Source organism: Homo sapiens, chromosome 3, assembly GCF_000001405.40.
Source record: "Homo sapiens chromosome 3, GRCh38.p14 Primary Assembly".
Lineage (NCBI taxonomy): Eukaryota > Metazoa > Chordata > Mammalia > Primates > Hominidae > Homo > Homo sapiens.
In genome coordinates this window covers 148,276,414-148,296,632 of record NC_000003.12, presented here as the reverse complement: position 1 = coordinate 148,296,632, position 20,219 = coordinate 148,276,414, and the positions used below count along the sequence as shown (strand labels likewise).

The following is a 20,219-nucleotide window of genomic DNA, read 5'->3' as shown; positions in this document are numbered from 1 at the left end:
CAAGGCTTTCCCTGTGTGGCACTACCTTGTCACTCCAAGTTTTCATCATTCTCTCAGGAGGATTATACAAAAGTCCTAGTTTGCTGGGTGCATTTGTCAATATTGGGGTTGGGGTGTAGACCACGGACCTAGATGGAATCTCAAAGAACAGGTAAACATTTGGCCAAATTGGGTGATTGCCAGAAATGAGCTGACTTTGGATTTCAGTCTGCCCTGGCTTCTACCTTTCTCTCAGGAGCTCGCGGTGGGAGGTGCTTGCTCTGGGACTTTCATATTCCCATGCTCCTTGTATGATTATCAACTCTACACTTGTTCTTCTGTGCCTGGCACCTTTTGATCTAGTCTTTTGGAATGGTTAAAACTATAAGTAGCTCGATCTGTTTAGATACTTGCATCAACGACTTCTGAGCATAGTAACAACTAATAACAATGAACATTTAATGCTTACTGTGTAGCAGGCACTATTCTAAGCAATTCATGCGTATAAACTCACATAAGCCATAAAACAATCCTATTTTGTGTTTGAGGAGACTGAGGCATGGAAAAATTAAATAACTTGCTCAAAATTATCTGATTATCAACTTAACAAAGCTGGCATTTGAATTCAAAGTGTCTGGCTCAAGAGTGCATTTTTAACCATTTGTCCACACTTCTTTCAATAATACAGCTTAACCATGCTGTATCCTTCAAGTCTAATCGCTATGGACGATTGTGGAGGGTGGTGAAAGGAGGTTAAAAGATTCTTTTAGAGTAAAAACAAGAGAGTCTGTGAGTATAGAATGGGGAAAGCACACCAGTTAATATCTCAACATAGTGTCTCCCTGTATTAGTCCATTCTCAGGCTAATAAAGACATACCTGAGAGTGGGTAATTTTAAAAAGAAAGAGATTTAATTGGATCACAGTTCAGCATGGGTGGGGAGGCCCCAGAAGGCTTACAATCATGGTAGAAGGGAAAGCAAACATGTCCTTCTTCACATGGCCACAGGAAAGAGAAGAATCAGTGCCCAGAGAAGGAGGAAGCCCCTTATAAAAGTATCAGATCTTGTGAGAACTAACTCACTATCACCAGACAAGGATGGGAGAAACCACCCCATGATTCAATTATCTCCACCTGGTCCCTTCCTCGACATGTGGAGATTAAGGAAACTACGATTCAAGATGAGATTTGCGTGAGGACACAGCCAAACCATATCACTCCCCACAAATGTATATTAACATTAAATATAATAGACCATATAGAGAGTAATATCTCATATTATATATGATATCCTTATTAGTTTATCAAACAGATAAATATTGTTTTTTCATATTGTCATTTTTAAGAGCCTTGTATTCAAACTACATCTGAATTTTCCATCTTGGAGTATTTGAAGAACAAAGTCTGCAATTTAATAATGGCAAAATCAACTAACAGATTTTAGAAAAATAGTCTCATTTTAGTTTATTTAATTTGAATAGTATATTAGCTCATGTGAGTGCCCAAATTCAGAGCACAGCTTATTTATTTTTTTCTTTTATTGTGATATCCCTTGCAGCCATTTAGTAACATTATATTTGGGGTAGGGTAAATATTCAATTAACTGTGGTTCTCTCTGTTAAATATTTTCCTGTTTTTCGAATGTTAACTGGCAATGATGTTTGTAACTGAGATGTCCTTTTTCAACTAAATTTTGAATTCTGAGTTGAATTTTGTATGGTACTCATGTGATAGGCTACGAATTTAAAAGTATCCTAGAGATGGCACATAAATCAATTTGGTAATAGTCTATTGCTTTGGGGACATTTACATTACTGTTTTAGCGTCAAGAGCTGCCCTGATGAACAAGAACTATCTCAGGCATCTATATATTTCAAGCATTAGTGAATGAGTGACACAGTGCAAAGTGTAAATTAAAATAGATGAATTGGTTGCACTAAATTAGTATTCTACTTTTACTACCCTGTCATATGAAATGCTATTTCGTAATTCAGAGTCACTCTTCAGAACACTTTTCCTTGTCACTCTTGCTTGTCACTTTTATTCCTTTAAATGAGTACTAAATATTGATTTTTTTTTTTATAAAAAGAAAACTATAGCATACCCCCTGAGGTCATTTTTATGTGTTATTTGCCTTTTCAAGACTTCCACCTTGTTATTTTAAAATTATTTCTTCTTTTTTTCCCACTTTACATTTACTCAGTATTGTTGGGCAAAGGATTCTAGTAATTGTATTCTAGACAGTGAGGATAAACAAATTTTCCAGTGCACTCCCGAGTAAATGCAATTTGAAATTTAATACAATTTTTTAAATCATGTGTCTATCCCTAATTATACCATTAATTTTGAATTATTTCTTAAGTATTTTCTATGGCTTTTACTGACTTACCAGGTCATTCTATAGCTTATTAAATTAGATCATAACTTAGGTTTCAAAAACTTTCAGAAAATTTTATTTACTTACTATTACTTCATTTTTCTTCCAATCTTATAATCATAGAGCACTAAAAAATGTCCCAACCTTGATGGTCTTATGAACATAATGAGAACCTTGTATATCAGTTAGACCTCTTAGTTGCAAGTACCAGAATCTACACTTGCAGATTTAAACAAAAAACAATAGTTTATTAAAAAAGATTAGGTTGCTTAGAGCATCTTCAGAATGACTAGAAAGATGAAGATTTAAAACTAATTGCCAGGAGCAATGCTCATGACCAGGCTGTCATGGCCTGATGAGGGAACCTCCCTGGTGCCACAGCCACCACAGAGAAGCAAAGATCAGCTATGAGATTTTTCTGAAAGAAACCATGACTACCACAGCATGGATGTCACTTCTTTTCTAGGAGTGCTACTTTGCTCCAACTACACCAATAAAATAGAAAGTCTGTGTAGTGTCTGGCATCATGTTGATAATGTCCAAAACAATCTTCTCTAGGTTATTCTGATTGGTGTAGCTGAGGTCATATTTCTGGGCAATAATTGCTGGAGAATTAGAGAATTTTGGCTCTGCCTTCCATACTGGGGAGAAGACACCCAGTGTGAGATTTTTCCCACATATAGAAAGACTATTCAAAATATGAGTGGCAGGTATGAATATGATCAATTTACATCAAGATATACTGTAGAATAAAATATGTAATTATAATTATTATTTTTCCTCCTACTTAAATAAATTAAATATGTGATAATCATAAGTTATCCAAAATATAAATTTGAAAGCAAGTTGTAACTTAAATAACATGCTATTGTTGACCTGTAAAGTATGGCTTAGTTAATAAAAAAATTCCCATAATTTTAAGTTAGCCTCTATAGTAAAAGAAATATGCTTATGTTTAAAATAAAAAGATGTATCAGAGACTAACACTTTCTGATAACTTGGATTTACTAGAAAAACCATGTAGTCTGTTGTTGGGATGGAAAAATCATGGTAATATGGTGAATGGCTACCAATTATGTTGATTTAAAAAATAGTGATATAGCTTTATTACATATCTGAACGTTAAGCCATTTATTTCAACATAAAGTCAATTCTTATAGGCTTATTCATATTTAAAGCATTTTAAACTTTATCCAATATTCACCCTGGGCTCACATTTTATGAACAGGTGCATAGTAGAAAAGTAATGAGATAAACTTTGATGGTCACATTATTATTTTAAAAATTGTAACATGAATGAGAAACACTTCTGGGGGTTTCTGAATATTGAATGAAATAAAATCTCCTGTATCTTAAGAGAGTTATGTCATATTGGGACATTCAACACAGTGTATGTGAGGCAGGACTGGAGGCACTTCCATGAAAGAAACAATTATAGCTAAAACCCCAAAGGATGGGCTGATGCCCTAATGGATCCTTTTTATATCACTAATTGTGGCAATTTTGTGGGTGAAAGGAACAAAACACAAAGCAGCAAGAAGGAAAACTTGAAGTACTTATGTTTTAAAAAACATCATTTAATAAATTATAAGAAGACTAAAAGGAAGTCAAGCAACTGAGTGGGGAAATGTGGGTTTATTCCCCAGATAGTCCTTAAAAGATGAGAAGGAGAAGAAGCTGACTATAGACTGTGGATAAAATATTTACAAAATAAACCCCACAGGAAATAATAATTGAATATTTTATATTTTGACTTATTCAACTTTTATGATTTAATTTTTTTTCTTCATTGAGTTTATTTAAGCTTTCCCCAGGGTCACAGCCTTGAAGAACTTTTAAAAAATAAGACTTTTGTTTACCAGGCAGATTTTTATATCTCTCTTTAAACTGAAGTATCTATTTTGTTAAAATTGTTTTACAAGGGCTGCTGTTCAGCATTTTTAAGGTGTCAGCCACTCCACTAGAAAAAAAAATCCTTATAGTTTGGCAAAGGCAATGCCTTTTGCACTGAATTTTTAAAAGTTTTCTGTGCTACGTTATTTCTTCTTATCAAATATGAATAACACCTTCAATACCTATATATGGAAATATATAATAATATTCTTATAAATATTTTCCATTGCAAGGTAATTAAGTTTATGTGCTTAATATAGGAAACGTATTATGTGACAGTAATTCAAACTATTTATTCGCTCATTTGTTTACTCCATTACTGTTTAATTTATTCCTCTGTATATTCATTCATTTATTAATTCATTCAAATACAACCTGCCACATACGACTTATAATGCTAGGAGATGCTAGTGAAAGAAAGAAAGCAAAGAAAAAGAAAAGACAGAGACAAAGAAAGAAAGGTGAAAAAGGAATGAAATAAAAAGAAAGAGAAAGAAAGAAGAAAGAAAAGAAAGAAAGAACAAAAAAAGCAAAAAAGAAAAAGTGAAACGGTGCTAGAGCTTTCACGGTAGAGTGGAGTTAACTCCTTTCTGCTTCCACATGGCATAGTGGAATGGGCTTTACAGTGTGTACAGGTTTTAGAATTTTTACAGGCTGATTTGTGATTGGATCTGGGTTTGATCTGGGTACAAAGGGAGAAGTAGAACCAAAGGATACCGTGCTTCAGCTCTTCCAGTCTCTTCCCCTTTCTTTCCACCACATCGAAATCTCTAGGTATAGAAAGTCAGTGACTATGTCAGGCCATTTTGGCTTCCATTGGGAAGAAATGTAGCTATGATGGGATACAGCAGAGTAGGTAAAGAAAGAAACTTGTTAATTTTAAATAAAGTAGGTTAATTATACCATCTGTATAAGATGCTATAATAATTTATTTGAAACAAAGTGCATGAATGAAAAGGAGATTATTGAAAGATCAGCAGTTAAGAGTTTACTTCATTTCCTTGTTAGGAAAAATCACCTCCATCTAGAACATTATCTTCCTTGTCACCTTGGTGCCGTCCAAAATTGTGTAAAAAAAAAGGTGATATCTACATTTATTTTAATGATACTGATGAATTTTATTATCAGTAACTGGAGAGATAAAAACTGGCTTTTGTAAAATGAGTCATAGAGACCTTGATAGAAATAAGACCTAGCTATGCTGAGCTATTTAATTAAACATCATGATTCTACAAGTTATATATAATTTGGATGTTTCTTTTTTTAAACTTTTATGTTAGGTTCAGGGATACATGTGCAGGTTTGTTACACAAGTAAACTCCTGTCATGGGGGATTGTTGCACAGATTATTTCATCACCCAGGTACTAAGCCTGGTACCCCATAATTATTTTTTCTGCTCCTTTCTCTCCTCCCACCCTCCACCCTCAAGGAGACCCCAGTGTCTGTTGTTCCTTTGTGTTCACGAGTTTTCATCATTTAGCTCCTACTTTGGATTTTTCTATAGGCACCTCCAAATAATAAAAAATTTGCTTAATTCAGCTGGGTTGATTTTTTTTTAACTGAATTGACTGCATAGCTTTTATTTTTCCTTTATAACTTCTGTGAGAAACTCAGGGCCTCTCTATATGGAGTCAAAAGTCTTGAATATACAGAAATAGAATTCCGTTTTCTGGGTAATTTAAAATATCTATTAAAAACTATTATTTATTACATCTCCAGCATCTTTTTTCTGAATATTCATCCAGCTGATAGTTACTGACTAGGAGCTCCGTTTAAGATTGTATGCCATTTACTGAAGGGACCACAGCAGTGATGAGAAAGGTAGCTTAGTTTTGCCTTCACGATTATTCATATATATTCATGTATCTGACTAAATAATTCCAATTTGGTTATATGTTTGTTGTTTTAGAGACACTCCAAAGTATATTTGCTTTTGGTGAATGCTGGCATTTTTTCTTGATGAAATGAAGTATAAAGAAGTAGCATAAGAAAGTAGCATTGGCAGGAGCAAGTGGCAAGCTTTGTTGGTTTAGCAATCAAAAAGTTATCTACTGTGCAGATATTTTATACATATATATAATATGTATACAAATACACACAAACGTGTGTATATATATTTTGGGTATATATATTTGCAAAACATTTATAAAGCTGTTATCATGACTTTCTCTTTTTTTAAACCACCAATACATGGTAGGAAACGTTAAATGTTTACAGCAAGCTGCTTATTTTATTTTCCTTTATTTGGATGAAGTGCCTTCAGACTAATCCATATTCTCACCTCTGCCCCATTCATGAATGTCTTCTTATTAAAAAAAGAAACAACAACAAGAAATTAACTGTTAAAAATGTACATAATAATTTCTGAACAAAGGCAATTCCCTGGGAAAAGGTGAGTTTTAACACACTGAAGTTGTTGTAAGATTTATCACAAGAGATTAATCTTTTACATACACACACACTAAACATGCACATATACAGAAAATACTTATATGTGAAATATACATATATTGCACATAAGCATTTGCTATGTTTCTCCTGACATACATGACATATCTTATAACTTTTTCAATGGACTCTGAAAATAAACAACTATAAATAAAACAACATAGAAGACTTGAGACTTGATTTCTTTTTTTTTTTCTTGTGAGACAGCCAGCCTCTCTATATGGAAGCTGTTCTATGGTCTTATACTATAGTTCTGTTGAAAAATTGCACTGGCTTGCCAAATATCTTAATGACTTTTCTCTCAGCAGTTGGTAATGGTGAAATGTTATTCTAGTAACCATAATGTCTCTCATAAAACAATTGCATACAATATGTACTGTACTTCTATTTTAGTGAGCTCTTCTGTCAGAATAGCAGTACCAGTAACCATTTAGCATTTCATAGCAAACTGCTTACCAGTCCTTCAAGTGTAATACTGCAGAAAGAGTGAAGAAATGCGTGATTAAAAACATTTACTGAGAGTGGACCATTTAACGCAACCCGACACTGCAAAATAAACCAGCCTTCACATATGTAGGCGCTCATCATATAAATGACAGTTCTATGTGGTCATTTAATTTTACGATCTCAATTCTCGCATATATTGCTCACATAAATATAGTGTTCTCCTGCAGGGAGGTCTGCTGGGTGTTATAAAATCAGTGAGACCTCAATGGGTTCAAATGGACATCTTTTATAATTATTGCTATAAAATTTCTTGACAATGCATTTTGTTGTCCAATGGCTAAAGAAAATGATTTTCCAAAAGAATGGGTTTCAACAAAGAGAGTAACAGAGCCTGGGAATTGTTCCTGTATTCACCCATATTCAAATTACCTTAGTTACACTCACCTATTGGAGGCTTTCCAGTTCTTCACAATAAGTTCTTAAAATGTGGCTTCCAGTTAGAAGGAGGCCAGGTTTGAATTGTTTTCTGGTTTGATGAGGCAAGGTGGATTATCTAGAGGGAAGGATTAATTTGCTGTTAATTGCAGTTAAAATCTATTTACAGAGAATTCTTTCATGCGCTTGGACAGATAAAGAAAGATAGGGAAAAGAGTTCCACAAACTCAGGATTAAATATGGTTTGAACAGAAAACATAGCAACTTTGAAAAATTGTACCAAAAGCACCATGAAGAATTGTATTACTTTGTCTGACTTTTTCAGGGTCATTTATTTGGCATTACAGAGAATTTAATGTGGTAGATTTTCCCTACTATGTAATGGGACATTTTAATTACCTCTTAGTTTTTATATTTTCTCTAGGATAATGAGTTTGATTAGTATTGTTGCCATGTGTGACAAGTGTTTAATGGCACACTAATTGGATATGGGCATTTGTGTCCTATGGTTATCCTGTAACTACTATAGCAACATATTTTTTACATTGTTCATTTAGAAATGCAATAAAATATTCACTATTTATTGTCGAAAAGAAAATGAATGTTTAATACATTTTCAAGTGTTAAAATGTTAATGTGTAGTCACATTTGTTGAAGTAGAAAGAAGGAAAGTGAACTATGAGCCATAGCTTAGCTCTGTGGTGAAAGTAACAGTGCAGAGTGTGGCACAGGCAGGGAGGGCATGGCCTGAGGGCATTAGGGCTCCTGGCTTATTTGTCCCTAGTTCATCTCTATCATCTCCTGTAGGGATCATTTGTCCTTTGCCTCTGCTGCTTTTGTTGCTAATCTAGCAGCAGCATCAATGTTAGGATGGAGATTTAGCTTTCTCCCACTCTCAATTTTGAGGTTTGATCATGGCTTCACCTCCATATGCAGGGATGAGTATGTAACATAAGTTTAGGACAAAAAGGGAATTACGTTCTGTGCATGACAGTGACTGGTTCGGAGAGCACACGTGACTTAGTTCAGTTACCTCATAATGGGTTTCAGAACTTTTATATAAACCACTAGAAAACAACAACAACAAAGGCTGCTCTGGAAGTTGATCTTGGAGAAGTTGGGAGGAGGGGAAGCTCCATTCCCCTCATCTTATCACCCAATGGGGCTTGAGATTGAGACTTTCACACAGAAGAGAACAGTGAAAAACTGGAGATAATGAGAGACCAGATTATGAATCAGCACTTGGACTCTTCATTTAAGTTTCACCTTAAAGCTAAATCCAGCCCAGAAAGTTTTAGCTAAAGTTGAGTTTCCTGAAATTGAGAGAGCCTTAACTAATTCACATGTCCCTTACCTTAATTTTCTTATGACATCAGTAGCATCACCTTTTCCTGCCTAAAGTAGTTCAGTTCAGTTTTTGATACTTGTAACCAAACTAATACTAATAAACTGTTCTTTGCTGATGGCAGATTCAATATTTTGATCTCCACTTCTCCTGTGTCTAAGCAATCAATTCATTCTTTCATTCCATTAATACAATTGTACAGATATAATTGATATTGAGTGTCTTCTATGTGATAGATACTGTTGATGCAACAATAAAAAGCACATAGTCTCTTTCTTCTTAAAGTACAGAGTCTCATAATAGAGAAGATTATTAAAGAAGAAGTTACAATGAGAGGAAGAATACAAAAAGTTTTTAAAAGAATTTAAAAGAACATCAAGCCCTTAAATGTTGGGCCACAGAGGGTCTCCTGGATGAGGGAGCACCAAACCTGAGGCCTGAGAGATAAGTAAAACCAGAAAGGCTGAGGCAAGGCAAGGAGACAGAGAGTTGAACTCTACCTTCCAAAGAAAACATAAATTAAGTAACTGAAAAGACATACAGAAGGGCTTGATAAAGGGTAATAGCAAGGGAGGTGGTTTAGGAGTGGAAAGAGACAGGATTAAAGGTAAATAGCCATGGGATAAACTTACCCATCAAGGGCCTGGGAAACAAAGGAATTTGAACTTTATCTTAAAAACAGTAAAAAGACAATCAGGTTTCAAATAGGGAGATGGTATGATTAGGTTTTGATGTGTCTAATCCAGATTTAGGTAACCTTATTCAAAAAGATTATTGTAATAAGAGAAGGTAGACTATTTCAATAAGAGCAGAGAGATTATTGAAATAAGAAGGATGCTCCAACAATGACATCTGCAAATGTTTCAAAGTTCAGGCAGAAAAAAACACTTTTTTTTTCTTTTTTTTTTTTGGAGACAAGAGTCTTGCTCTGTCTCCCAGGCTGGAGTGCAGTGGTGCAATCTCGGCTCACTGCAAGCTCTGCCTCCCAGGTTCACGCCATTCTCCTGCCTCAGCCTCCCAAGTAGCTGGGACTACAGGTGCCTGCCACCACGTCTGGCTAATTTATTTTTGTTTTGTTTTGTTTTGTATTTTTAGTAGAGACGGGGTTTCACCGTGTTAGCCAGGATGGTCTCGATCTCCTGACCTCGTGATCCGCCTGCCTCGGCCTCCCAAAGTGCTGGGATTATAGGCATGAGCCACTGTGTCCAGCCAAAAACACTTTTCTTTTATAGGGGGTAGTGAACAAGGATAGAAAAAAAAAAACAAGTGTGGGAAAATGAGATGAACGGATGGAAAGGGCATGATTGGATAGCAGATGAGAGAATGTTTTACCCTGAGGTCAGTCTACAACTGTGAGGGACTATTACGGACAATTTCTGTGCTGGCTTATGCTAATGACGGGTCAAAACTTACGGACCTGGGGGAAGGAGAGAAGCTTAACTAGACATGTTAGGAGGCATTTTGTTCAGATTAGTCAGTAAGTACAGAAAGTTCAGCTAATCACGTATGAGGAAAAGAATGGGAATTTGGAGACTAAATATCTGTGTGTCCTGTTGTCATAGGTAAACAAAGGGAGGAGCTGTGAGTTGTATCTAAGTTACAAGGGGAAGGGTGATTCTTTGCAGTAAGCCATATTCAAAATACAAAAGTGTGGGAGGGCTCCTTAATTGTATCTACTTTCTAGGAGCACAGGGCTCAGGTAAACTTTAACATGGTCAGGTTTCAGAAACATTTTGATTTACCATGGAAAATATCTTGAAAGGGTATGAGGCCAAAGAAATAAGTGTGCAGTAATTCAAGTGCAGTTGCCCTGGTCCAAGGTAAAGACACTATGGTCATAAAGAAGCAGCAGATTACAAAGATTTTTAAAATGTAGAAAAAAACAGATTTTAGTGTTTGATTGGACCTGGGATGTGAGCAAAACATTTAAGTCACAAATGTGTCAAGAAGTTAATTCCTTTAGCTGAAATTTTCCCTCTCAAATTCCCCCAATGGCCTCTTTGACTATCAATCTGCAAGAGGTCCTCCGAATCACTGCTTTCCATGGATGTTTTAATCTTTCAAGGACTCAGGTTTCCTCTGCTATGGCCCCTTTCCCCCATATCCTCTGTCCTCAATAATTTTAGCCTTATGTCTTATCTTTACTTATTAACAAAAAATAGACTGTAATATCTCTTGTTTTAATCAATGTCTTCTCTCCAAAAGCAACTGTTATGGAGTATACCCCTTAACCTAATATCTCCTTCAGACTTAAAAATGGGATTTAAAATGATTGCTACCAGTCTTATGTAACTAAGTTTTACCGATCCTTGCCTGGTTTTTGACTGTTAAGAATTTTATTTGATATGTGCTGAACAGGTGTTTTAAGGCTGCCTTTAGTAATATAATTTCTTTGAACTTTTCTGAAGTGTAGCATAGATGTATAAAAGTACACAGATCCTTTGCAGAAAGAGTGCACACATGCAACCAGCATCCAGATAAAAAAAAAAGAACCAGTACCCCAGAAACCCCACACTGTGTCCACTTTTTAAAACACTACATCCTATATTGATCTCTAACACATGCATTAATTTTGCCTATTTAAGTTTTATATAAATCAAATAAGATACTATGCAACCTTTTGTGTCTGGCTTTTCTCTTATTATTTGTGAGATTTACCTATATTGTTACTTATAGTAATCTATTCTCATTGCTGTATTGTATTCCATTATTTGAATACATTATAACTTATATAGTTATTGCCATTGAGAGGCATTTGGATATTTTTTAGTTATAGGTACATGATTAGTGTTATAATAAGAATTATTGTACATGGGTAAATTTTGGGGTACTAATTTAATTTGAAGGACAATTTGTCACTGAATTCCTTTCTAAGCCTTAGATAAATGGTAAACAATTTTTTAACCACTTTGGAGCTTCTTATACATTCTTGTTTGTAGTTATAATCCTAATAGTTATTTAAATGCAGTTCTTTTACCTATGTGACTACGTATGTCTCTACATGTCTATGGATTTTAACTATGATTTTCCATTGGTTTCTCAGGGGGAATTTATTCTTAAATTTTGTTTTTAAGAGGGCTCAGGAAAAATATTTACCTCAGTTTACACAAGTTAAAAAGGCCTTAAGAATGCTTTGAAAACAACTTGCCTATTTATAAAATTATTGATAACATCCTTCTTTTTTTTTTCTTTTTTTTTTTTTAACTCAGCTGCGTCATAGATTGAGTGTTGCTGCAGTAATGTGAAGCAAGCCTACTGTCACCTTCTCATAGAAAATTGGATATCTTTCCTGACTGCCTGTTGTGGACTGAATTGAGTCCACTTCAAAATTCATATGTTAAAGCCCTAACCCCCAATGTCACTGTTAAGGAGGAAATTAAGGTTAAATGAGGTCATATGGGTGGGAACCTTAATTCAATAAGACTGGTGTCCTTATCAGAAGAAACACACCAAGGATGCATACTCACAGAAAAAAGCCCTCATGAGGACATAGAGAGAAGATGGTCATCAGCAAGGCAAGGAGAGAGGCATCAAGAGAAACCAAACCTGCAGACACTTTGATCTTAGACTTCCAGCCTCCATACTGTGAGATAAATTTCTGTTATTTAAGTCACATAGTCTGTGGTATTTTGTTATGGCAACCCTAGCAAACTACTACACAGCCTTTTCATGAGTTATTGTTTTGTTTTGTTTTGTTTTTGCCTAAAATCTAGATCCTGCACAACCATTTCATGACTTTTGATTTCAGGGTTAATACTTTGTATTGTCTTGGCGTTAATACTTATGTATCAAATTTTTCTGGGACCTATTTTTTTCTTTCAATTGACAAATGCAATTACTTTTATTTTCAGAAAAGTTGCCTTCTATGTTATCTTGAAATATTTTTGTCCTTTTTCTCAATGTAAAAATAATATGCAGCCCTAAAAAAGAATGAAATTATGTCCTATGCAGCAACATGGATGCAGCTGGAGGCCATTATCCTAAGTGAATTAATGCGGAAACAGAAAAGCAAATACCACATGTATTTGTGGATGTGGTATCCACATCCACTTATAAGTGGATGCTAAACCTTGGGTACTCACAGACATAAAGATGGCAACAATAGACACTGGGGACTACTAGAACAGGGAGGGAGGGAGGGAGGGGGGCAAAGGTTGAAAAACTATCAAGTACTATGCTTACCACCTGAAGGATGGGATCATTTCTACCCCAAACCTCAGCATCACACATTATACCCACATAACAAACCTGCACATGTACCCTCCAAATCTAAAATAAAAGGTGAAAATATTTTAAAAAATTACATCTACAAGGGATCGCCTTTGTCTGCTTCCAGTGATGTTATCTCAAATACTTCCTAATGACACACTTTTTTATTCTTACAGATCTTTTTTTGTTTGTTTGTTTCATCTTATATGTGTGCTTCAACAGGTGCATCCTTTCTGACTTAGCATCAGGGTGATGGTAAGATCTGTATTTGAGGTTAGGCTATGAGGACTCCTTTTTAGACCCTGAGCCTACAGCAGATGCTACAAATGCTACAAATGCTACAAACCAGCTTTGTAGCCTAGAAGAACATAAGCCTCCCAAAAGAAACACTTTGCGTGTATAGGTCCCACAAAAAAATCATGAATGAGGGATCATTAATAGTGAGTTTTCTATCCAGACAATATCTCATAGGGTCTAATTCACAGTATTGTTTTATGTCCAACATATTGGTTGCTAGTAACACAGAAAAATGCTTTATAAGAGATTTTTAGAAACACATTATGTCAATGATTAATGCCAATAATTTCTACTTTATCAACAATTATCCAAATCATTAATTTTCCTGATTTGACAAAATAAGATGCAAAGCAGATATATAACTGAAACATGCATTTTTTCCATAAAAGAACTCTCCTATTATGAACACATTTAATATTTCTCTTTGTTTAGATCCTTTCAATAAAGATTATATTAACCTCTTCTCTTAATATGTCTTTAAACTTCTTTAAATATTGAAAATTAACTCTTATATAATTAATATAACATTTTGTATTTGTTTTTCTATACTTAATAGTCCAATTAATAGAAACATATTTTTTAATTCCTCTAAGAAAAAAATAACACCTTTTCTGATACATATCCTTCAGTTGCCTTTTACGTGGATTGATAGTCCCCCTAATGCTTCCTCAAGAGTTTCTCCAGTTGGCTTCCCCAGAAACAGATCCCGAAACAAGGATTTGAGTAAAAGTATTTTGTTTGACATATTATTCAAGAAAACATTGGTAGGAGAGTAGGAAAGTGAGTCAGCAAGGTGAAGAAAAAAAATGAATGTGCATTAGTGAGCAGATTACTGCTTTTGTCTACTAAAATTCAATCCTGATGGGTGCCTCTGAAAGATTGTAATTCATCTCTGAGAGTTGCCCCAGCAGAGGGACTAGAAAGCTGGGGCATTTATCCTTCAACTCTCATCCACCATTGGTTGAGGAATGTTCTTGAGGGGATTAATTCCCCAGCACCTCAGCCTTTCCCATGTTGTGGCTGAGTATGTTCCTCAACACTGTTAATAGCTTCTAAGTGTTGCCTTAAGAAGCTGAATGAGAGCACTAAGTGCTAAGGGGAAACTGGCAGTACCATGGCAGGGTCTACTGTGGTCCATCCCTTGTATCCTTCTGATTCACTTATGCTCCAGTTTAATTTCACTATGTTTGGTCACTGACTCTTCAAGATGATGTCTAGTTATTTTTCTTCCTCTCGCTCTCTCTCTCTCTTTTTTTTTTTTAATTCTCTCACAGGTCTGGATAGCTGTTGTTTCAAAAATTTAAAATTCTTAAAAATAATATGAAACAAACATAAAACTGAAGTTGTGGTTTTGCCTGCAGCTGCAGTCAGCCCCTAGGCCAGAATTTGTAAACTATTAATTATCTCACTCCTTTACAACCCAATCTTTATTTCTCTCACTCTCAGATAGCACTTCTGCTAGTCTAGGTTGCTTGCCCAATGGGTAAACCAGGCCTTCATCCCTTAGGAGTCTAAGCCTCTAAACATATACCTTTACCTTTTTTTTTTTTTTTTTTTTGAGATGGCAGAGTCTTGCCTTGTTGCCCAGTGCAGTGCAATGGCATGATCTTGGCTCTCTGCAACCTCCGCCTCCTGGATTCAAACGATTCTCCTGCCTCAGCCTCCCATGTAGCTGGGATTACAGGCTCCTGCCACCATGCCTAGCTAAGCTAATTTTTGTATTTTTAGTAGAGACGGGGTTTCACCATGTTAGCCAGGCTGGTCTCGAACTCCTGACCTCGTGATCTGCCTGCCTCGGCCTCCCACCGGCCGTGAGCCACCAAGCCCAGCCCAAACATATACCTTCTTGAGTCCTTTATGAGGTATCAATGTAGTTTTTTCATAATAATCAGGATCAATTACACTGCCTGTATAGTACAATGTATGTCAGCTGGTCTTCTAGCATTGGAGACTAAAATGGCCAGGTGATATCCTGAGCTTTATATTTACTAAAATCCATACTTCACCTCCTGGAAGAAACATTTCTATTCTGGGAACTAGATCTTCTAATGTAGTAGTATCTAAAATTTGAGGAACAGAGAGCTCCCCTTACCCGAAATGGTCACTAGGAGTGATGGTAACGAGAGGTGACAGCTGCTGGCAGTCCTCGCAGCCCTCGCTCGCTCTCGGCACCTCCTCTGCCTGGGCTCCCACTTTGGTGGCACTTGAGGAGCCCTTCAGCCCGCCCCTGCACTGTGGGAGCCCCTTTCTAGCCTGGCCAAGGCAGGAGCCGGCTCCCTCAGCTTGCAGGGAGGTGTGGCGGGAGAGGCGCGGGCGGGAACCCAGGCTGCACGCTGCGCTTGCGGACTAGGGCAAGTTCCGGGTGGGCGTGGCCTCCCAGGCCCAGCACTCGGAGCGGCCAGCCGGCCCCGCGCCCGGGGCAGTGAGGGGCTTAGCACCCGGTCCAGCAGCTGCTGTGCTCGACTTCTCGCCGGGCCTTAGCTGCCTCCCCGCGGGGTACGGCTCGGGACCTGCAGCCCGCCATGCCTGAGCCTCGCCCCCGCCGTGGGCTCCTGCGCGGCCCGAGGCACCCCAACCAGCGCCACTCCCTGCTCCACGGCGCCCAGTCCCATCGACCACCCAAGGGCTGAGGAGTGCGGGCGCAGGGCGTGGGACTGGCAGGCAGCTCCACCTGCGGCCCCAGTGCGGGATCCACTGGGTGAAGCCAGCTGGGCTCCTGAGTCTGGTGGGGACTTGGAGAACCTTTATGTCTAGCTAAGGGATTGTAAATACACCAATCGGCACTCTATCTAGCTCAAGTTTTGTAAACACACCAATCAGCACCCTGTGTCTAGCTCAGGGTTTGTGAATGCACCAGTCGACACTCTGTATCTAGCTAATCTAGTGGGGACGTGGAGAACTTTTGTGTGGACACTGTATCTAGCTAATCTAGTGGGGACCTGGAGAACTTCTGTGTCTAGCTCAGGGATTGTAAACGCACCAATCAGCACCCTGTCAAAACGGACCAATCAGCCCTCTGTAAAACAGACCAATTGGCTCTCTGTAAAGTGGACCAATCAGCAGGATATGGGTGGGGCTAGATAAGAGAATAAAAGCAGGCTGCCCGAGCCCTCAGTGGGAACTTGTTCCGGTGCTATTCCAGTTTGTGGAAGCTTCGTTCTTTTGCTCTTTGCAAGAAATCTTGCTACTGCTCACTCTTTGGGTCCATGCTGCCTTTATGAGCTGTAACACTCACCGTGGAGGTCTGCACCTTCACTCCTGAGCCAGCGGGACCACGAACCCACCAGAAGGAAGAAACTCCCAACATCAAAACGAACAAACTCTGGACAGGCCACCTTTAAGAACCGTAACACTCAGGCGAGGTTTTGCAGTCTCATTCTTGGAGTCAGTGAAACCAAGAACCCACCAATTCCGGACACGGTAAGAGGGACCACTACTATGTTAACTCTGGTTTTCTTTCTTTTTTTTTCCTGCTCTATATGATCTGCAGAATTCGACACCCTTTGGTTTTCAGATCATTGCATTCTAATTACCTGGGATACAACGTCATATAATGGCCAGTAGTTGGAATTTTACCTCACATTTTGAAAGATGGTGCCCCAACCTTGCAGATGCCGCAAGCTGAGACTTTAAGAGGCTATCATGATGTGGTATATGGTTGAATTAGTAGGTCCTGTGGTTACTTGCTCATTTCTCCACTCTTAATCAAAGGTTATCTCATTGGGAATCTAATGCTTTTTATGCCTTTTACTCAGATACGGTGTTAAAAAGATAGAGAAGGCAAACCCATAGCCAAACACACATCTGTCCTAGTAAGGATGAAACACTAGTCAGACTAATAAGGCCCACATTGTAATGTTGGTTGGTCTCTTCATGGGATATCCCTATATTGGGGGTGGTGGTTGGGAGGTGGCCTCCGTGCTTAGTGTTGGTAACTGTTGTTTGAAGATCAGATATTCAGCAACAGCAGCAGCTACATTAGCCACAGTGAAGGAAGAGAAGGATATGGAGCTGGTGCATAGTTTCCTTTCCTGTCATTATTGCTACTCTATTCCTGAGTCTATTGAATGAGCATTCGAATAACCAAGTGCCAAATCTGGCTGGTATCTAATATAAGTCATTTGTTCTCCTGGTTTTTGCCAGGAGATTAAATCCTAAGGCACAGTAGAGTGTCTTCATATCAATAAACTCAAATCAGTCAATATCTACAAGTTTAATAATCTTCCCTCCCTGCTTCTGCATCCTCAATATATACTCCTAGACTTTTTTCTCCTGGTTGCTTTTATAACAAATTAGCCAATTCTTACAGATCTTTTGGTGGATAATTCATTTCTTCTCATAGCAATATAGTACTTTTTCACTTAGGCCATGCTGTGACTTAACCCAGGTAATTCTGCCACTGTTATTCTGAAAATATACCCCTTCCACAGACCCCCATACCCTCTAGCTGAGCCTGAGAAATTCAGTTACTGCAGCGTGTGGGCCAAAAACCATGAGCTCTCCTATTGTCACACAGAAACTCTTCATGCCATCTCTCTCTCTCTGCTACCTGAGTACTGCCTAGCTGCCTACAGCAGAAGAGATGGCTTCCTGGGTTGCACCAAGGCAAATTTCCTTCTTCCCACCCTCCTGGCATTTACCTTACCCTCCTCTGTCCCCTCTTACAGAGAATATAGACCTGAGGTCCAAGTTTGCAAGCAGAATGCTATAGGCTCATGAAGGGAGAGAGTAGCCTAAATTGGGCAGTCTGGTCGTCATCCCCAAGAGAGTTACAGGGACTCAGCCCTCTCTTCTGCCATTAAGAGAGCCAGTCCTCCTGGATGGCATTGCAGTGAGCCCTTAGCCCTAGTTCTGTGGACTAGGGGAAAGGGATGGAAGGAAGGATGCATGGGTAGAGTCCCTGCTGCACTATTCCTTGTGTGCCAGAGCAGTCTGTGTCTGTCTTCTCTGTGTTGGGGTGTCATTTTCCCATGATCTCTTCTACTTAAGGTCATTGTATTTGATAAGCATTTATATTTATACTAATAGAAACAATGCTCTATTATGAAGTAAAGTGTGAGGTTTTTTGCAATTTTTAGTTTATGGTGGTATTCATATATCATCATTATCCTTTTAAATTAGTATAGATATTTTAAAGGGAAAAATCTTTATATTTAAACATATGCAATGGTGTATTTTTCCTGCTTTTTGAACAAGGGACCCCTCATTTTCATTTTGTGTTGGGCCCTGCAAATTAGAAGTAAGAACTTTTTGATGAAATTCACAGAGCAAGAGAGGGAGGAGAGGAGGAAGAAAAATAGAAGGAGGAGGAAGAGAAAGAGAGTAAGAGATAAAAACTACGATATTAATACCTAACACAACTGTAAAAATACTCATATATAAAGATGTTTCCATGACATACATGTGAAACAAAAGTTAATTGCAGTGTCAGAGTTAATCACTGCTAATAACGGAACTCATCATTTTGTGATCTTTGAGATTCATTCTATTAAATATCAAATGTACTCTGTGTATTTGTCCATTTGTATTCAACTGAGGCTTGATTTTGATGTCATTTATCTGACACTTGTATTAATTGCTTAACTTTGCAGATGTTGAAGCCAAATGTATTTGCCTTGGAAGCAATTGAAACAAAGAGTTTACTAACCATAGAAAATACGCACCATGCTCCGCTTCATACTGAGGGCTACCAAGAAAAGCTTTATTTATGCAAGAATGTAGTTAGAAGAAAAGTGAAAGTCAATTGCCTTGTCTTTTTTTTAATGGAAACAAACCAAGTGTAATCAGTTATACTTGGGCATTTTGTAAAAGTAATGCTTTCTGTTGGTATTAGTAATATGTGTACCATAGAAGGACTGCCAGTCAGGGAGGCATAGAAAGTGAGTTGGACAACCTAAAGGAGAATTGTGAGTTGCAGTGTGGATAAATGGGCAGTGTGGGTGTTCACTCTAGGAACAACAGCTAAAGAGGGGTAGGAAAGGTGGTGAAGAATAAAGTTAATCTGTGGCCTTTAAAATGCCAGTAAGTTAGAATATCTTAGTTTTAACTCTTTGGGGAACAGGATAGAGTTCATTCTCTATCCATGTACTACAAGATATATAAGCCAGAGTTTATAAAGCAAAGCTCTTTTATTCTTTTTCTTTTCCAATGATATTCTCTCTCTCTCTCTTCCTCCCTCTTCTAATTTCTTTCATATTTTCTATTAAGTAGGGCTCTCCTGCCAGCATATCTCTTGAAGGCCTTCACATATTTTATAGTCTTGTTTCCTATGCCCAACTAGCTTCTGTATTTCATTTTGAAACTGCTTTCTTTATAGTGGCATTTGATTTGTTTTCACTACTGTTGAGAGAAAAACTTTCCCTTTACCATCTAAGGCTAGAGTGGTTGGGGACCTGTGAATGAACTAACAGTGGACAGATTAATAGGAGAAAAGACAAAGTTTACTCATATGCCTGTGGTAGTGTACAAAAGAAGTGACTCCCTGAATAGCTAGAAATAGGGATTTCTATCCCAACTTAATAAGAAAAAGGGAGAAAAGTAGAAAAGGCTTCTATGGGAAGAACAAATAAGCTTAATAAGGGAAAAATAAATGGGCTTTTATGGAAACAAATGGGAGGTATGACAGTATTTGATCATCTTTGTTAATGCAATTTTTCATCCTACTATTAGTGATTCCTCTCTCGCCTGGCTGTGAAACATGTAATGTCTGCTTTTTCATTTCTGATTTTATTTATTTAAGTCTTCTCTTTTCTTTTTTCTTCATTAGTCTGGCTAAAGGTTTGTCAGTT

General features: G+C 37.5%; 1 long non-coding RNA gene across 1 annotated transcript in view, besides 1 other annotated feature; it reads right to left on the bottom strand.

Annotated features, from left to right (window-relative positions):
- LINC02046 (long intergenic non-protein coding RNA 2046) overlaps nt 1-15,742 on the bottom strand; it is a 119,066-nt gene extending 103,324 nt beyond the window's left edge. Inside the window, exons 1-2 of the long non-coding RNA NR_146712.1 lie at nt 15,524-15,742; nt 7,590-7,698 (exon numbers count right to left, since the gene is read on the bottom strand). This is a non-coding gene — a long non-coding RNA (long intergenic non-protein coding RNA 2046). The remainder of the gene's footprint in view (nt 1-7,589; nt 7,699-15,523) is intronic.
- Nucleotides 6,610-7,921: an enhancer, noted in NCBI's record as "VISTA enhancer hs1115". NCBI's record gives its function as "enhancer in: midbrain (mesencephalon)[5/7]" and the evidence as "EXISTENCE:transgenic organism evidence [ECO:0001131][PMID:17130149]".
- Nucleotides 15,743-20,219: the final 4,477 nt, after the last annotated feature.